General features: G+C 47.0%; 1 protein-coding gene across 9 annotated transcripts in view, besides 2 other annotated features; it reads left to right on the top strand.

Moving 5' to 3' along the window:
• Positions 1-10915, top strand: part of KANK4 (KN motif and ankyrin repeat domains 4) — an 83270-nt gene extending 72355 nt beyond the window's left edge. For all 9 annotated transcript variants that reach the window (NM_001320269.2, XM_011540845.4, XM_017000483.3 and 6 more), the window contains one exon: positions 8699-10915. In NM_001320269.2, the coding sequence (NP_001307198.1) occupies positions 8699-8803 (105 nt within the window). In that variant the 3' untranslated portion in view covers positions 8804-10915. The remainder of the gene's footprint in view (positions 1-8698) is intronic.
• Positions 13311-13811: an enhancer, noted in NCBI's record as "H3K27ac hESC enhancer chr1:62698941-62699441 (GRCh37/hg19 assembly coordinates)". NCBI's record gives its function as "activates a minimal SCP1, AML or CMV promoter by ChIP-STARR-seq in primed H9 embryonic stem cells {active_cell/tissue: H9 hESC(primed)}" and the evidence as "EXISTENCE:reporter gene assay evidence [ECO:0000049][PMID:30033119]".
• Positions 13812-14312: an enhancer, noted in NCBI's record as "H3K27ac hESC enhancer chr1:62698440-62698940 (GRCh37/hg19 assembly coordinates)". NCBI's record gives its function as "activates a minimal SCP1, AML or CMV promoter by ChIP-STARR-seq in primed H9 embryonic stem cells {active_cell/tissue: H9 hESC(primed)}" and the evidence as "EXISTENCE:reporter gene assay evidence [ECO:0000049][PMID:30033119]".

Raw genomic sequence — 19180 nt, 5'->3', positions numbered from 1 at the left:
GTCTCTTAAAAAAAAAAATAGCCTGGTGCAATGGCTCACACCTGTAATCCCAGCACTTTGGGAGGCTGAGGCAGGTCGATCACCTGAGGTCAGGAGTTTGAGACCGGCCTGGCCAACATGATGAAACCCCATCTCTACTAAAAATACAAAAATTAGCTGGACCTGGTGGTGGGAGCCTGTAATTCCAGCTACTCAGGAGGCTGAGGCAGGAGAACCGCTTGAACGTGGGAGGCAGAGGTTGCAGTGAGCTGAGATCGCACTATTGCACTCCAGCCTAGGCAACAACATGAAACTCTGTCTCAAAAAAAAAAAAAATTAACCAGGTATGGTGGTGCACGCCTGTAATCCCAGCTACTCAGCAGGCTGAGGCAGGAGGATTGCTTGAGCCCAGAAGGTTGAGGTTGCAGTGAGCCATGGTCAGGCCACTGCACTCCAGCCTGGGTGACAGAGTGAGACCCTGTCTCTAACAAATTTGAATAAATAAATAAATGAGATGATTCATGGTAAATGTTTGGAGTCTTAGAGCCGTGAAACCCACAACCCTGACCTTTCACAACACCATCCTGGGTGAATATTCCCAGGCCTGGCTTGGCCCTGAGTCTCATCTGGTCATGGCAATAACAGCATGTGGGCTTTGAGGCAGTAGCTTAGATGGGGAAGCTCTGCTGTCCAGCAGGGACTCAAAAGCCTTCAGAAGGAATCAACCTTACAGAGTCATCTCTGTAGTCACTTAACTGAAAGTGCCTCTCGGACACTGACCCACTTTCTGAAGCAGCCCATTCCATCGAGCCAGCCTACTTGAAGTTGCACTGTCAGTCACAGGCTTCTTAAATAAACTTCCTCGTAAGGTGACGGCAATGATGATGATGACAATAGTAACTAATCAGTAACAATAGTAACCAACACACATGGAGGGCTTACTCTGTGTCAGGTACTGTACTAAGCATTTGCCATGGACCATCTCATTTAAACCCCACAACAATCTTGTGAGATTGACCGTCTTCCTGCTGCCCCACTTTGCTCAAGGAGACGGAGGCATCAAATGGTTAGGTTACATACCCAAGATTACTCAGCTAGTGGAACCCGGCTCCATTAAACTCCTGGGCCCATACCCTTAACGTTCCATCATCATCACTGTTGTCACATTGAAGCATCCATGTCTCTGGCTCCCACACCTAGTAGAGTGCCCGCCACATATCATTGAAACAATCAACAAATGAATGAGTGAACCCCTAAACTTTGGAGGTAAGTCAACAGTAAGTGACCTTGTTCCTGATAATTACAGTAGATATAATAATATTTCTAGAGTGCTCCTGGGAACTAAACCTTTCCCATGCATTACCTCTAATCCTCTCAGTAATCCAGTGAGATAGATATCGACCCCACTTTTTACTTATGAGAAAACAGGCCTGGAGATGTTATGTAACTGTCCTAAGATTTTCAAGCTACTGATTCGCAGAGCAGAGATTCAAGCCCAGGTCTGACTCCTTAATATTGGCACTGTAATTTAATGATTTAAGCAGATGACTTTATGCTTTCTTAACAGCCACAATTCAAAGGGAACAAAAACCTGGAGAGGGGAAGAGAGTCATCTCCCTGCCCAGGGACAGCACCTCTTACTGGGCCACATTTAAACTACCCAAAGATTGACTCATCAGCAATTTAAGCTGCTGAGTCCCTCAGTCACACCCAGACAGCAGGCACTCATCCAGTGACTCTAGGTCCTGTGAATCTTAGCTTCACCCCAAAGCCATTTCTAAGATCATTAGAGGGCACTGACCTTCTTGACATTCATATGGGAACAGGGGTGGGCTACTGGAAACCAGAGCCTCCTTTTCCAAACATTATGTGGTCAAACAAAGGATCTGTGTTAATGAGCTCCCTGCTGGGTTGTCCTGGGGGAGAAGGAGGCAGCCCTTAATCTGGAACAGGTTTGTACATCAAAGGCCCCTGGCCCTCTAAGGAGTAGCCACTGCTGATGCCCGAAGAGGCCTGAGATGGGAGGCCCGTGGGACAGGCAGGCAGGCATGAGCTTTGGAAGTCCCTGGTTAGCTAGGATAATCAGGCAGTGGATCTGAGAGCTCTCCTGGGTATCTCTGGAGGTCTGTCACAGGTACGAGAGAGCTAAGTGGCTGTTTTCTGATGGTGGAAGAGTTGTGGGATCTGTTGCATTTCAGACAACTCAAGCATGATTGTTAGAAGCATGGACTTTAAACGCTCATGAGGCCAGGTGCAGTGGCTTCTGCCTGTAATCCCAACACTTTGGGAGGCCAAGTCAGGACGATTGCTTGAGCCCAGGAGTTTGAGACCAGTCTTGGCAACAAAGTGAGACCCCCTGTATTAGTCTGTTTTCACACTGCTGATAAAGACATACCCGAGACTGGGCAATTTACAAAAGAAAGAGGTTTAATTGGACTTACAGTTCCACACGGCTGGGAAAGTCTCAATCATGGCGGAAGGCAAGGAGGAGCAAATCACATCTTACATGGATAGCAGCAAGCAAAGAGAGAGCTTTTGCAGGAAAACTCCCCCTTATAATAACCATCAGATCTCATGAGACTTACTCACTATCATGAGAATGGCACAGGAAAGACCTGCCCCCATGATTCAATTACTTCCCACAGGTCCCTCCCCCAACACATGGGAATTCAAGATGAGATTTGGGTGGGGACACAGCCAAACCATATCACCCCCTCTCTACAGAAAATAGAAAAAGATTAGCTGAGTGTGGTGGCTTGCACCTGTAGTCCCAGCTACTTGGGAGGCTGAGGCAGGAAGATTGCCTGAGCCCGGGAAGATGAAGCTACAGTGAGCCGTGATCATACCAGGAAACACCTGTCTGGGTGACAGAGTGAGACCCTGTCTCAAAAAAAAAAAAAATAAAAAATAAACACTCATGAGTTTGAATCTAGGTTCAGTGACTTTGGGTAGGTTCCTTTGGGTAGGTGACCTAAGTATTCTGGGCCTCTAGATGCTCATCTGTAAAATGGGGACAGCAGTAGACTCTATCTAAATACTGTAATGTTTATAAAGGCTGAATCTGACATCTAGGAGCACACAGGGGATGGTAACTATTTTAATTATGAATAGATGAACAGTGATAGCTAAAACAAAAAAAAAACCACCACATCAACCAGCAGGGAACATGGCATTTACAGACAGTGTCTGGAGGGAGCAGGGAGAACAAAGGTCTTGAATTAGGGGAACCAATCAGAGTAGGGCGACTGACCCCTGAAGGGAGAAGCCACTGACAGACTTGGTTCAGTCTAGTGGTTCTCAGCTAGGGGTGATTTTACTCTCTGGGGGAGATTTGGCAATGTCTGGGGACATTTTTAGTCACAAGTGGGTGAGCAAATGCTCCTGACATCTAGTGGGTAGAGGCCAGGGATACAGCTAAACATCCTACAACGCACAGGAACAGCAAAGAATTAACAATTATCCATCCAGGCCCAGTGGCTCACACCTGTAATCCCAGCACTTTGGGAGGCCGAGGCGGGTGGATCACTTGAGGTCAGGAGTTCAAGACCAGCCTGGCCAACATTTTGAAACCCTGTCTCTACTAAAAACACAAAAATTAGCCAGGCATGGTGGCACGCATCTGCAATCCCAGCTACTCAGGAGGCTGAGACAGGAGAATTGCTTGAACCTGGGAGGTGGAGGTTGCAGTGAGCTGAGATTGCGCCACTGCACTCCAACCTGGGTGAAAGAACAAAACTCTGTCTCAAAAAAAAAAAAAAATTATCTGGTCCAAAATATCAATAGTGCTGCAATTGAGAATGCCTGGTTTAGGCAAACACTGAAATCCAGGTGGGTTTAGGTAGCTAATCCCGGGGAAGTGCTGGATCAGGGAGAGCCAGGCCAGGCTGAGGACCAGGCAGGCTGGAGTTCGGGTAGGCTGTAAGCCTGGAAGGGAGGGACTGGAGTGCCAATCAGGAAATGGAGGAGGAAATCTATCATGGCAGAAACTGGAGTAAGTTAGGGAAAGCCCAGCCGGCACAGTGGTGCCCAGGTAGTGCAGGTAATGGGCCCACAGGTAAGATGGGTTCCAGACCCCACTCATGGATGGGTCACATGCTGCCCACCTGGGTCAGGGTTGATTCACATGCAGATTCCCAAGGGTGACTTTGGGGAGCACAGTGTCTCCATCCACAGGGTGAGACATTTCAGTGGGAAAAGGGAGCTTTTGACAAGGCTCTACCAAGCACCAAGGCTTGTACCTGGTGCTTCACATTTAGAGGGAAAGTCTGGCCCTTATCATACCCACCATATCATTTCCGTATTCATCTTTCCTATGGAGGCTTAGATGTTAGCAGCAGAGCTCATTTGGGAATGTCTTTGGAAAACTGGGAGAGAATTCATGTCCTGAAATTGGTTTATTTCATCAACATTTAAAGTTCGGTATAAATGCAGAATTCCCAGAACAGCTGGCCAGGCCCTTTCCCTAGATTTAAAGACAATTTGAGGAAATCTGCCACCCAGCCTCTTCTGGGTCCCAGAGCCCACCCTTCATTTTGGCAGCTTCTTTAAAGCACCCATCAGATTGAAAACTTCTTGAAGGCAGAGGTTATGCCTTGCTCATCTTTGGGTGATGCATAGTGGACTAGTGATGAATTCAAAGACACCCCTCTCCAACACATGGATACACACACAGTTGTGCCAGCTGCCTGCACCCTTCTCTTTTTCTTTCCTTTTTTTTTTTTTTTTTTTTTTTTTTTTTTGAGGTATGGTCTCACCCTGTTGCCCAGGCTGGAGTGCAGTGGCACGATCATGGCTTATTGCAACCTTGACCTCCTGGGCTCAAGTGATCCTCCCGCCTCAGCCTCCCAAAGTGTTGGGATTACAAGCATGAGCCAGTGCACCTGGCCAAGTGCAGATTCTTGAATCCCTGAAGTTACACGCAAATTTTGCACCATACCTGGCTAGTTCCCCATCTCTTCAGTCGGGGTCTCCTAGAGCAGCTCTGGAGTGTTGTCGAGCAGAGGCTCACCATACCTGGCTCCCATGGGAGCTGCATGGCATGGGCTTGTTCCCAGAGTTCTGGCAGAGGCATCTGAGGAACACTAACCCTCGCCAAGTGGTCTCTCTGGCCACACCTCCTGAGCTGAATGGGGTCCTCTGCTCTCCATGTCTGCAGTCGAGGAGTCCACAGCTGCAGGCTGTCCTCCAGATGGACCCTGTTAAAAGGTGCACCTCCCCTGGGACTGGCCCTGTGGCTCTTCTCCGTAAACACTGTCAGTACATACTCTGTGTTTACATAGAGGCTTAGGATTGACAAGGCACAGCAGATGAAGTTCAGGAGCAGGAATTCGGGCCTACATAAACCCAGGCTCCTCCTTTAGGAGGCTTTTACAGGACTCCCTGCTTAAAATCTTTGTTTTGTTCCAGTACTTTCCAATGTAAGAACCCATTCACTAGGATTTAGATTCCATCAGCTTGAATGAATACCGTTAGGTTCTTGTGCAGCATTCTCTCTTTCAACAATGTTTGTTGAGGGCCGACCAAATGCCAGGCCCTGGGCCAGGTGCCAACATGCAGCAGTGAACAGGCCAGATCAAGTTCTTGACCTCGTGGAGACTGAAATTTATCAAATAACCTCACAAATACGAGCATAGAACGAGTGGTAAAAGAAAAGTCCAGGGAGTCATGAGGGCTTTTCGGGGAAAGAGTTTGTATGTTTTGAGAAGCCCATGTGCCATCTTCGGGGGTCCCACTGAAATGCCACTTCCTTCCTCTGCCTCCCCCCGAGCCATCTTCTACCCCGCCCTGGCACACAGTGCCCATCCTCTCCCCTGAGCTCACTCTGTTCCTGTCTTCTGACTCGTTTAGTGCTTTGCCGTGCTTTATAGTTATTTGCATGCGTGGGAGCCCTGATGGCCGCTGGATTCTATCCCCGTGCATGGGAAAAAGCCTGAAGAGTGTTCAGCTGGGTGTTACACTTCCTACACTTCCTGCCTGCTTCTGTGAAAGAATTGTCCATATTTTAGGAAGTAAATCTGTGCATATGCAATAAAGAACAATCTAGTGGGGTCTTGGGTGTCCTCTACCCATCAAACCCTTTACAGCAGCAAAATGTCAAAATATTCACAGTAGGCCAACAGCCTCAGGTCAGGTTTCAGCTCCCAATAAGTTATCTAAAGAGTGTGGTTTTTGGAGCTGTTTAGAGTTCAGAATTCTGTACATGGGATTGAGCTCATTCATAAGAGACTGCAGCTGCTCAGTCAGGCCGGTGGTGCCTGATGAGAGCCCTCTGGGTGCAGCTTCTTTAGACAGTGGGACTGCCAGCTTCCTGCATCACCGTGTCAATGTAAAGAGTGCTGTGACATCACAGATCAGGAGGTGAAAATGTGCATGTCCCTTAATGCTGTGAGCCCACTTCTTTTTATTTAATTTAATTAATTAATTTATTTTTTGAGATGGAGTTTCACTCCTGTTGCCCAGGCTGGAGTGCAATGGCGCAATCTTGTCTCACCGCAACCTCTGCCTCCCAGTTTCAAGCGATTCCCATGCCTCAGCCTCCCAAGTAGCTGGGGTTACAGACATGTGCCACCACGCCAGGCTAATTTTGTATTTTTAGTAGAGATGGGGTTTCTCCATGTTGGGCAGGCTGGTCTTGAACTCCCAACCTCAGGTGATCCACCGGCCTTGGCCTCCCAAAGTGCTGGGATTACAGGCATGAGCCACTGCACCCAGCCTCTGAGCCCACTTCTAAGAGTGAGTCCTTTTTCTTGTAAAGTGGGCAAAGGATATGAACAGACACTTCTCAAAAGAAGACATTTATGCAGCCAAAAGACACATGAAAAAATGCTCATCATCACTGGCCATCAGAGAAATGCAAATCAAAACCACAATGAGATACCATCTTACACCAGTTAGAATGGAGATCATTAAAAAGTCAGGAAACAACAGGTGCTGGAGAGGATGTGGAGAAATAAGAACACTTTTACACTGTTGGTGGGACTGTAAGCTAGTTCAACCATTGTGGAAGACAGTGCGGTGATTCCTCAGGGATCTAGAACTAGAAATACCATTTGACCCACCCATCCCATTACTGGGTATATACCCAAAGGACTATAAATCATGCTGCTATAAAGACACATGCACATGTATGTTTATTGTGGCACTATTCACAATAGCAAAGACTTGGAACCAACCCAAATGTCCAACAATGATAGACTGGATTAAGAATATGTGGCATATATACACCATGGAATACTATGCAGCCATGAAAAAGGATGAGTTCATGTCCTTTGTAGGGACATGGATGAAGCTGGAAACCATCATTCTGAGCAAACCATCGCAAGGAAAGAAAACCAAACACCACATGTTCTCACTCATAGGTGGGAATTGAACAATGAGAACACCTGGACACAGGGCAGGGAACATCACACACCAGGGCCTGTCGTGGGGTGGGGGGAGTGAGGAGGGATAGCATTAGGGGATATACCTACTGTAAATGACGAGTTAATGGGTGCAGCACACCAACATGGCACATATATACATGTGTAACAAACCTGCATGTTGTGCACAGGTACCCTAGAACTTAAAGTATAATAATAATAATAATAAAAGAACCAGTCCTTAGGAAATAATTTAAAATGGGAAAATGCTTTTTGCACTAAGATTATGATGGCAGAGACTTAGAAACAACATACATTTCCACTGAAAGGAAGTTATGGAATATTTCCATAATTAGCAAAAATTAGTAAATTATGGAATATTACACAGCCAAAAAGAAAAATCATGCATTATAATGGCTATGTAAGAATAGAGAAACATCTTATAGCATATCATGGTAAATTAAGAATAAAAGCAAATTCAAAGTTGGTATACAATATAATTCCTTTATTTAAAAACCAACAACAGGACAGGTGCAGGACAGGACAGGATTGCAAATTCATGTCTGTAATCCCAAAACTTTGGAAAGCCAATGTGGGTGGGCCACTTGAGCCCAGGAGTTCAAGACCAGCCTGGGCAACATAGTGAGACAGGTTTAAAAAATTAAAAAAAAAAAAAGAACCAACAACAAATTTGCACAGGAGAAAAGATTGGAGGAAAACACACCAAAATGCGAACTTTCACTTAGATACATGTAATGGAACAGCAAGAGTTATTTTATTTCCTGTTTTCCAATTTAAAGTAGAAAAAAGTGGGGCTGGGCTCAGTAGCTCACACCTATAATCCCAGCAGTTTGGGAGGCCAAGGTGGGCGGACCACTTCAGCCCAGGAGTTTGAGACCAGCCTGGGCAACATGGTGACACCCCGTCTCTACAAAAGATACAAAAATTTTCCAGGCATGATGGTGTGTACCTGTAATCCCAGCTACTTGGGAGGCTGAAGGTGGAGGATCACCTGAGCCCAGGAGACGGAGGTTGCAGTGAGCTCCGATTGCGCCACTGCACTCCACCCTGGGCGATAGAGTGAGACTCCATCTCAAAAAAAAAAAAAAAGAGCATTAAAAACTAGATGGCCCTTCTTTATTTCTGTTGTCACAGATTTCCCAGGAGTCACTATTGTTTCTGTGGAAGGGACCGCATTTCTGGTGATCCTCATGCCATTCGAATCTTCTCTACCGAGGTCTCTGGAAGCCTTAATAGACACCTGTGTCCCAGGCATACCCTCTACTCCCAACTTGCCCTTCTCCCCCAGGCAGGAGGCAGATTGGATGATATTTATTTCTTCTTTCCTTTTTCTCCTGTAGGCTGGCCGCACAGCTTTGTCCATCGCTCTGAAGTCACCCACCCATATGGAAATTGCTGGGCTTCTGAGAGCCCACGCGGAGCAGGGCAGGTCCCTGGGGCTGTAGGGGCTGCAGAAGAACTGGCCGTGGGGAACAAAAGCCTTCTTCTCTGGACTCCTCCCTCGCCCTTGAAGAGGGCAGAGGTCACAGGCCAGAGAGCCACCCTTCTAGAGAAGAAACTATGTCAAATATGCACATACATTCCTGTTGTATAATTCTGCTCATTAGGATGCTTTGTAGTTTTTGCCTTAGGCCAAGCCTGAAAACTACACGGGCTTCAGAGCAGGGTTCAAGGTGCAAGGTGAGGGGTACGTCGGTGTCATCCAAACATCCAAAACATCTTCAGCCTTGAATTCCTCATGACTCTACCCTCTGTAACATTGTGTAGCAAGCAGGCAGGCAGGAGCACATTAGCACATTAGAAAAGCAATACTTTTTACATGGAATTTTACAGTGCACTATCTTTCTGTTTTTTAAGCAAGTGTATACAAATATGTCCCATTGATATGCATGTCTATAGATGGGAGGGGATTTAAGCCAACCCCCTGGCAAGCATTCTGTAGGGGACCCTAGAAGAATCACCGTGCAGACTGGTGAAACTGAACAAGCACCATTTGGGAGCTTTGTTTCGATGGGGTTGACAGAGAAATCTTAAAATCTGACAGGGTAGAAGAAGCACTTTGGCATCAATGCCATATGTACAGTCTTGACTATTTCTGAGTCATCTAGTGGCTCCAATTTGCTCCAGGGAAATTGGAATTAATTAAGAAATTTATTATCTAGTAAGTTGCTATGTAATAAAGAAAAAAAAGAAATTCAATCCAATGACACACACCACATGTATTTGGGCAGAGTCAGATTCTCTCAGCTATTTTGAGTCTGTGGAAGAAACAAAAAAAAGCTTCCTCCTGAGGATGGGTTATTGTCATCAAGAAGCCACCTGCATAGCCGTATCCATTACCTCATGGTAATTCCCGGTGCTTTCCCCTCATATCCCCTAGAAGCAAATATCTGTTCTGAGGTTTTTTGGGACTTCTGGCTGCAATAGGAGCAAGGGACCCAGGCAGGGCAGAGCAATACCTTCCGAAGCTTCCATATTCCCTGGGGCCAGCACATGCAAGGTTTATATGGTCAGTAGCTCACGTGAAGTCATCTGAATCTTTCTTAAATCTGCTCTCTTAAAATCTCTTATGCAAAAAAAAAAAAAAAAAGCCCCTTATATAAAAAGAAGTAATGTCAAAGTTTGATGAGCTTTACATTGGAAACTCAAAAGCTTGCACTCTCATTTTGGCTCAGATGCCAATTTGCTGGGTGCCCCTGTGGTGAGTCATGAAACCTCCTTGGGCCGCAATTTCATCATCTCTAAAAACAGAAATTGTCATACAACCTACCTCCTGGGAGGTGCTGCACAAGAAGCAGCTGATGGAAGTTTCAAAATCCAATTTGTGGCCGAGCGCGGTGGTTCACGCCTGTAATCCCAGCACTTTGGGAGGCCGAGGCAGGTGGATCACCTGAGGTCGGGAGTTTGAGACCAGCCTGACATACATGGAGAAACCCCGTCTCTACCAAAAATACAAAAATTAGCTGGGGCGTGGTGGCAGGCGCCTGTAATTCCAGCTACTTGGGAGGCTGAGGCAGGAGACTCACTTGAACCCGGGAGGCGGAGGTTTCAGTGAGCCGAGATCGTGCCATTGCACTCCAGCCTGGGTAACGAGCAAAACTCTGTCTCAAAAAAAAAAAAAAAAAAAATCCAATTTGTAACCCATTAAGGCCATCTACAGCAATGGTACAGCAAACTTCTTTTGCCATTGTGATTCATAAGAGAGGCTCAGAGTCCCAGAACACAATGACATGTGTTGATGCAACTCAGAGGTGGAGAGAATGGAGCAAATAATGAGAAAAAAAATGCTTTAAATGAGTTTATTTTGACCTCAAAATACATTGTAAGAGCAACATCCTACGTTAATAAATGTTCTAGCCCGGTGCTTCGCGAACATTTATGTGCATACAAATCACCTGGGATCTTGTTAGAAGGCAGTAGGTCTGGGGTGGGGCCTGAGATTCTGCATTTCTAACCAGGTCCTGGGAGATGCTGATGCTATCGAGCCACAACCACACTTTGAGTAGCAAGCCTCTGGCCTATCCTTATTGTTTGTTATATTAAAATGCTGCCTCTCAGTCTTCTGTCTCAAAATTTCTTTGCATATCTTTGCTCTTGGTTCTTGGGAATTTGCAGTGCGGGTCTTATTTCCTATTGTCTCTGCAGACAGCAGTATGGGGTCTGTGTCCTGTGTTGCCTGTTTAGGATTTATTTCTGCATCTCATATTAGGTGGCAATTTTCATTGGGTCACTTTAAAAAAATGAAATCATATTAAAAACAACTTATTTACCAGGAAAAGCAAACTGGGTTTCCTAGAGCTTGAAGATTACTTATTCATCACTATCAAAAGACTGTCCATCCTTTCTGAGATTTTTAATAATTTTATTTTAATCTTGAGTTTTGGACATGAGCATATGATCTCATCCTTTATAACCATTTCTTTCCTTTGGAATGTCTGAGCTCAGAGTGTGGTGAGATGAACAAGCACAGCCTGCCTTCCTGTCACTGTCCCTCAGCTCTAAAATTCATTTAAAAATATCTATTGATTGGGGTGCTGAGGCGGGCAGATCACTTGAGGTCAGGAGTTAGAGACCAGCCTGGACAACATGATGAAACCCTGTCTTCACCAAAAATATTTTTAAAAACTAGCGAGGTGTGGTGGTGTGCGCCTGCAATCCCAGCTACTCAGGAGGCTGAGGCTGGAGAATTGCTTGAACCCGGGAGGCAGAGGTTGCGGTGAGCCAAGATCATGCCACTGCACTCCAGCCTAGGCAACAGAGCGAGACTCTGTCTCAAATGTATATGTATATATTTATAAACCGGCCAGGTGCCTGACACTGTTCCCAGCACTAGAGACATCACAGTGAGTCCAGTTCAGTCTCTTGCCTCATCATCCACTAGGGAAAACACATAGAAGGTCAGAAGGAAGCCCAGAGAGGTACCACTAAAGGGCACCAGAGCTGGCCTTAGAAAGTCAAGGGAGGCTTCCTGGAGAAAGGGCCAATGAACTTAAAGATTACTGGATGTTAGGCAGAAAAGGAAGCGGAATGAGAGGTGAGTGTGCCAGGCAGAAGAGTACTGCCATAACTGCCTAGTGAGTTCACCTTGCCGGTTGCCTAGACAGAGCCGATTTATCAATACTGGGGAACTGCGATAGAGAAAGAGTAATTTCATGCGGAGCTGGCTGTGCAGAAGAACAGAGTTTTATTATTACTCAAATAAGTCTCCCCAAGCATTCGGGGAGCAGAGTTTTAAGGACAACTTGGTGGATGGGGGGAAGCCAGTGAGCCGGGAGTGCTGATTGGTCAGGTTGGAGATGAACTCATACAGAGTCGAAGCTGTCTTCTTGCGCTGAGTCAGTTCCTGGGTGGAGGCTGCAAGATCAGATGAGCCAGTTTATTGATCTGGGTGGTGCCAGCCGATCCATCAAGTGCAGGGTCTGCAAAATGTCTCAAGCACTGATCTGAGGAGCAGTTTAGGGAGGGTCAGAACCTGGTAGTCTCCAGCTGCATGACTCCTAAACCATAATTTCTAATCTTGTGGCTAATTTCTTGTCCTGCAAAGGCAGTCTAGTCCCCAGGCAAGAAGGAGGTTTGTTTTGGGAAAGGGCTGTTATCGTCTTTGTTTTAAACTATAAACTTTCTCCCAAAGTCAGTTCAGCCTGTGCCCAGGAACCAACAAGGACAGCTTGGAGGTTAGAAGCAAGATGAAGTTGGTTAGGTCAGATCTCTTTCACTGTCTGTTACAAGTTTGCAATGGCAGTTTCACTGCAGAGGCTGGAAGAAGGGAAAGCAGGCATTTGGGGGCCTTCATTCAGTTCAGTGTGGCTACCATGTTTGAGTGGGACACTGAAATCAAAGGGTATATTTTTAAGAGACGAGACTAAAATTACATGGAGACCACATCAGAAAGTGCTGTAAAAGCTGTGGTAAGGCTTTATTCCAAAGGCAACAGAAAGGTATTGAAATCAAGATTTAAAATGGAGAAATCCATTCCTCTAACCCACATTTAACACATTTATCAGGTACCTCTTCCCTTCCAAGTGCTGTGCTTGAGGCTGGGGCTACGCCAGCGGGTGAGTTAGGCACAGAGTGCACTGCATGTGAGCAGGGAAGGAAGACAAATGAGCCACCGCCTTGCAGTGAGAGCCACGTTGCAACTGGGCGAACATAGGGTGCTGGGGGTGTGCATAGATGGGGCCCTCAGCCTAGTACCCCCTTCACCTAGAAGTGGGGAGGGGATCCAGGAAGACTTCCTGAGGTATATTTTAACTATCTGAAGGATACGTAGGAGCTAGCCAGGCAAAGAGGAGCAGGAGAACGTTCCAGGCAGAGGAAGAAGCAAGAATAAAGCTCCAAAACAAGAGAGAACATTGATTTGGGCCATTCAAATAATATTAATGTGCCTATGCTGGGTACAGTGGCTCATGCTTGTAATCCCAGCACTTTGGGAGGCCAAGATGGGTAGATCATTTGAGGTCAGGAGTTCAAGATCAGCCTGAACAACATGGTGAAATCCCATCTCTACTAAAAATACAAAAATTAGCTGGGTGTGGTGGCATGTGCCTGTAATCCCAGCTACTTGGAAGGCTGAGGCAGGAGAATCGCTTCAACTGGGGAGGCAGAGGCTGCAGTGAGCCGGTATCTCACCACTGCACTCAAGCCTGGGTTACAGCCAGACACCATTCCCCGCTCCTCCGCAAAAAGGAAGCAATGCTCAGATTCACATGTTAGAAACAGCACTCCAGTTTTTTTAGCATGAGTGACATTTATTCAATAAACATTTGTGGAGTGTCCATTCAGAGTCCTGGGCTCCAGAGTTAATGGTTTGTTGGTGGGGGGCAGGTGTAAGCTAACGACCACTATGAAATGTGACAAGTGTTGGAGGCCTGAGTCGAGCTGTGGAGACTGAGTGGGACAAAGGGAGTCAAGGACGCCTCCCAGAGGAGGTGGCTTTTCAGCCAAGCCATAACGATGCCTAGGAGTTTAGATATAACGGCAGGTGGATGGAAGATGTGGCATGTGAAAGAGCATGACCTGACCTGGGCTGGGCACGCTGGCTCACGCCTGTAATCCCAGCTATTCGGGTGGCTGAGGCATAAGAATCGCTTGAATGCGGGAGGTGGAGTTTGCAGTGAGCCAAGATCACGCCACTGTACTCCAGCCTGGGCGACAGAGTGAGACTCCATCACGAAAAGAAAAAAGGAAAAAAAAAGAAAAAGTGTGACCTGTTGGGCAATGGAGACAATTTCAAAATGACTTTAGTTTCAGTTACGCAGGAGACGTGACTAAACAGGAGACGTGAAAGGGAGGTCAGGAAACATACCACACTCGTACATGGATACTTGGAATTTGGACTTGTGCCTGTAACTTGAGGGGAATAACAGACCCCTTTGAAAATGCAAAGGCCTCAACAGAAAAAGTTTGGGAGGCCAAGGCGAAAGGATTGCTTGAGGCCAGGAGTTTAAGACCAGCCTGGGCAAAATAGCAAGACCTCATCTCTACAAAAAAAAATTTAAAATAAAAAATAGACAGGCATGGTGACACATGTCTGTAATCCTAGTTACTTAGGAGGCTAAAGCAGGAGGATTGTTTGAGTCCAGTGAGTTATTTTCGCACCACTGCACTCCAGCCTGGGTGACAGATTGAGACCCCATCTCTAAAAGAAAAAAAAGAAAGAAAAAGTAAAATGGCCAGGCGTAGTGGCGCACGCCTGTATATCTCAGCACTTTGGGAGGCCAAGGTGGGCTGACCCATTGAGGTCAGGAGTTCCAGACCAGTCTGGCCAACATGGTGAAACCCCCATCTCTACTAAAAAATACAAAAATTAGCAGGGCATGGTGGTGCATGCCTATAATCCCAGCTACTCGGGAGGCTGAGGCATGAGAATCACTTGAACCCAGTAGGCAGAGGTTGCAGTGAGCCAAGATTGTGCCACTGCACTCCAGCCTGGGTGATAGAGCGAGTGAGACTCCATCTCAAAAAAAAAAAAAAAAAAGTTTTTGCAATAAAAAAAAAAAAGAAGGCAAAATTTGCATACAACTTCAGGGATTCAAAAATCTGCACTCAGCTGAATGCAGTTGCTCACACCTGTAATCCCAACACTTTGAGAGGCTGAAGCAGGAGGATCACTTGAGCCCAGCCTGGGCAACATAGTGACATCCCATCTCTACAAAAAAAAAAAAATTAATAACTAGCCAGGCGTTGTGATGTGTGCCTGTAGTCTCAGCTACTTGGGAGGCTAAGGTGGGGAGATCACTTGAGCCCAGGAGGTCAAGGCTGCAATGACTGTGATCTCACCACTACACTCCAGGCTAGGTGACAGAATGAGACCCTGTCTCAAAAAAAAAAGGATTCAAAATCTTACTGCTATGGGCAGTGGGGAGCCATTGATTTCTAAACAATAGGGGCATATGATCAGATTTGCTATTTATTAATAGAATGATCACAGAAGGTGACTGAAAGCAAAGGGATCAGCTAGGACGTTCTAATGAGACAGTGGGTATAAAGCAGGAAGGGCCCAATGCATGGTGGTATTGGTGGGGATGAAGAATAGAGCCCCATAGGAAAGGCATCAGGAATGGGATGTGCCAGCATGTGACAGACTGGATAGTGAGTGGAGAGCAGTCAAAAACGGTGACAGAATGGTGGGATATGCATTCTTCTCTTCCTCTTCCTCTTTAATAATAGAATTCCCAACTTTTAGCTGGGCACATGGCCACCCAAAATAGACTTCATTTGCCAGCTCTCCTTCAAGCTTGATGTGACCCTGTAACTACGTTCTGGCTGGCAAGGTGTGAGTGAAGTGAGGTGTGCAAACTCTGGCTCCCGCATTTAAAGGAAAAGGAAATGCATTTCCCCCTTCCCACTGGCTGGAATGTGGTAGTGATCCATCTGGATCCAAGGAGATGAGGCCACCGTCCAAGGGATGATAGAACAGCAAGTCAGAAGGAGCATAGGTCCCCAACACCATAAAGCTGTCATCTCCTCTCTGGACTGCTTATTCTGCATTTGATATCTGAACAAGAAATAATCTTCTCACACGTGTAAGCCATTGTACACTTGAATCTCTGTGGCAGTAGGAGTTAGACAACTGCACTTAGCACTATATGGCAGTGTCAACAGTGAAATGCTATGGTTAGTGGATTTCAGGGGGAAACGCTGGGAAAGGCCTTTTGGAAGGAGTATCCTTTCAATGCCTAAGGCATAAAGAATGTCTCCTTATGACACCAGCCCGTGTTCCACGCCCACAGTGGAGTCATCCAGCCCACAGCCTTGCAGAAGGTACAGCTATGTGTTGCTCTAGCAGATTCCTGAATACAGGCTGTGCACCCTGAGGCAGCCTGTCCTTAAGTGAGTCATTGTCTATGAAGTGGCCAGGTGTGGAATTATGGGTGGAACCATTGAATTATCTGAGAAATCTGAATGAAGAAACATGTGGCATTTCAGGCAGTCACAGTGGGGTGCGATCAGGGAGAAGAGAGTGAAGCCGTGAGGTGGAGTGAGGCATAAAGGGAAAGGTAAAATTTGCATGAGTAGAGGTCAAACTGGCTGAAAGCGCTGGGCACAGTGGCTCATGCCTGTAATCCCAGCACTTTGGGAGACCTAGGTGGGTGGATCACTGGGGAGGTCAGGAGTTGAAGACCAGCCTGGTCAACATGGTGAAACCCTATCTCTACTAAAAATACAAAAAAATTAACCAGGTGTGGTGGCACACGCCTGTAATCCCAGCTACCTGGGAGGCTGAGGCAGGAGAATCACTTGAACTTGGGAGGTGGAGGCTGCAGTGAGCCAAGTTCATGCCACTGCACTCCAGCTTGAGTGACAGAGCGAGACCCTGTCTCAAAAAAAAAAAAAAAAAAAAAAAAGGACAGGCTGAAAGTGTGAGCAAGAAGGATCTATCTATGAGGTAGATAAAAGATCAAGTGCAAAGAGAAGAATGCACTTATGGAGCAGATGCCAATCCTCCTTGCCTTGGAACTTCTCCTCAGCCCCATCCAGGATCCCCGACTGCAGGAGGAGCTGTCACACTCCTACAAGAAAACCTGGCTCCTGGCCATTGCAGGACGGACACCAGACACTGCCTGGACCCATGAGGCCCTCTCTTGGGAATTTTAGAGCTGAGATTTGGGAGAGAGATTCAGTCTCCTTCTGGTGTCTGGACTGTATCATGTAGATCTCAGCTGCTGATCACCAGGGTCAGCCTTGTGGAGTTAAGGGGCCAAAGGGACTCTTCAGTCATAAAGCCTAAAGAGGTGGTTAGAGCAAAGCAGAGATAAGAATTTCTGGCTTCTCTGGAGCAACACTTGTTCCTTCAGGAAGACCCCAGATGATACCTACTCTTGAATTCTGTAACTTGTTTCTCTTTTCCCAATCTCCTCTCTGGGTTAGGCAGCTAGTGGGAAGCAAGGAAGGGCTGGTATCTGGAGTCAGATATCTCAGGTGTTGAATTCCAGCTGGACCACTGCTTCACTCAGCTTTTGATCTGTAAAATGGGGGATAATTGTTCCTTGTTCCTCCTCTGTCTTTTTTTTTTTTTTTTTTTTGAGATAGGATCTCCCTCTGTCGCCCAGGCTGGAGACCAGTGATGCAATCTCAGCTCACTGCAACCTCTGCCTCCCAGGCTCAAGTTACCCTCCCACCTCACCCTGCCCCCTAGTAGCTGGAACTACAGGCATGCGCCACCACACCCAGCTAAATTTTGTATCTTTTGTAGATGGGGGTCTCACTTTATTGCCCAGGCTGGTCTCGAACTCCTGGGCTCAAGCAATCCAGCCTCCTAAGGTCTGGGATTACAGGCATGAGCCACCACACCCAGCCCCCTCCTCTGTTTTTCTGTGTTTAGCTAAAATGGTCCCTATGATAGAACTTAATATACAGTGGAGAGCATCCCCTTTCCCCTGGCTGTTTGATTCTTTTTTCCTAGACCTGGGCCCATAAAAACAGCAGCTTGCCTTCACTGAGTACTTAGAAATGCCCAGGCATCAGTCCTAAGGGGTTTGTATGAAGTTACTTACGTCTCATCATAACCCAGTGAGCTAGATATTATCCCTGTTTTACATATGCAGAAACTGAAGCACGGAGAGATTAAGTAACTCACCTAAGGCCACACAGCCTAGTAAGCAAAGGATCTGGGATTTCAAGCCGGATCAGGCTCTGTGACTACACTCCACTGCCTGCTGTGAGCCCAGAACTCTTCTTGCTCCCTTGCCAGTGACCCAGGCTGGGGGAGAGAGGTGCCTGGCTGCAGGCCAGTGGACACTGCTGAGAGAACAAAACTGCTTCGGGGACCTGACATGAAGTCAGTGCCTGACCTGCAGGTCCTACGGGGTGGCTCAGGACAAAGGGGACAAACAGGCAGAGTATTTGGGACTGGAGGAGTTGAGGTATCAGGATGCCCATGTGCTTAGCATTCCTGGGGAAGAAAGAGGCCTCTGTCCAGGGCACAGATGGTCTGAACCCTGCATTACCTCCACTGCCCACTAAGGAAGGAGTTCTTGACAGTTCCAAATCCATTCCTTCACACCCTCTCCTGTTTCAGTGAGAGCTGGGCCTGGAACAGAGGAACCCCAGCTGCTGTCTGAGGGAGTCCCGCCTGACCTCCCCTCTGAGCCCCATCCAGCCCTTCGTCCATTTCCACGCTTGGGAGAGGTCTGGAAAGGGCTGCGGAGCCTCTGCTCTGAAGCAAGCAGAACAATTCTGTTGCTGTTTGGGGATTTGAGAGTACATTCTCCAATCTCATGTTGCCTTTGAGATGAGGGGATTTCCACTCTTCTCCCTGGAAGGGAAAACTATGGGAGAAAACTGTCCTTTGACACCCTCTCCCACAATCCCAGTGGTCAGATCCGGGGCAGGAACGGAGGGAAGCTCAGGCCTGGGCCCCACAAAGAGGAAGCGGCTGCTGTTCTCCCCACCTCTTGTGGGCTTAGCAGGGCTGGTCCAGCCCAGTGTGGGACCGTGTGACTCTGCGCGTGAGTGTTAGGATGGTCACTGTAAATCTACGCCACGCCCTTCTTTTGAGCTTTAGTCAGGAATAAAGTTGATGTCTGTCTATGGTATCTTATCTTTCAATTGGTTACCTGCCTGGGAAATGAGAAAAGTGATGTTATTTATTGTCCCCATGCCCCAAGCCCCACACATTCCCTGGTCAGCACACCGGGCTTGTAGATGACGCCTAGCTTGGTCCAGCTAGGAGAAGTGGGATGGAAAAAGAGGGGTGAGGGTGACAGGGCACATGAAATGGAGCACTGCCAGACCCAAAGGATGTCTGAGCCCACAGCTGACATGCCCTATTGAGGGCTCACTGTGTTCCAGGAGCTGCCATTTACAGAAGACACAATGGT

The sequence above is a fragment of the Homo sapiens genome, chromosome 1 (assembly GCF_000001405.40).
Source record: "Homo sapiens chromosome 1, GRCh38.p14 Primary Assembly".
Taxonomy (NCBI): domain Eukaryota; kingdom Metazoa; phylum Chordata; class Mammalia; order Primates; family Hominidae; genus Homo; species Homo sapiens.
This window is presented reverse-complemented; position numbering and strand designations above follow the sequence as displayed.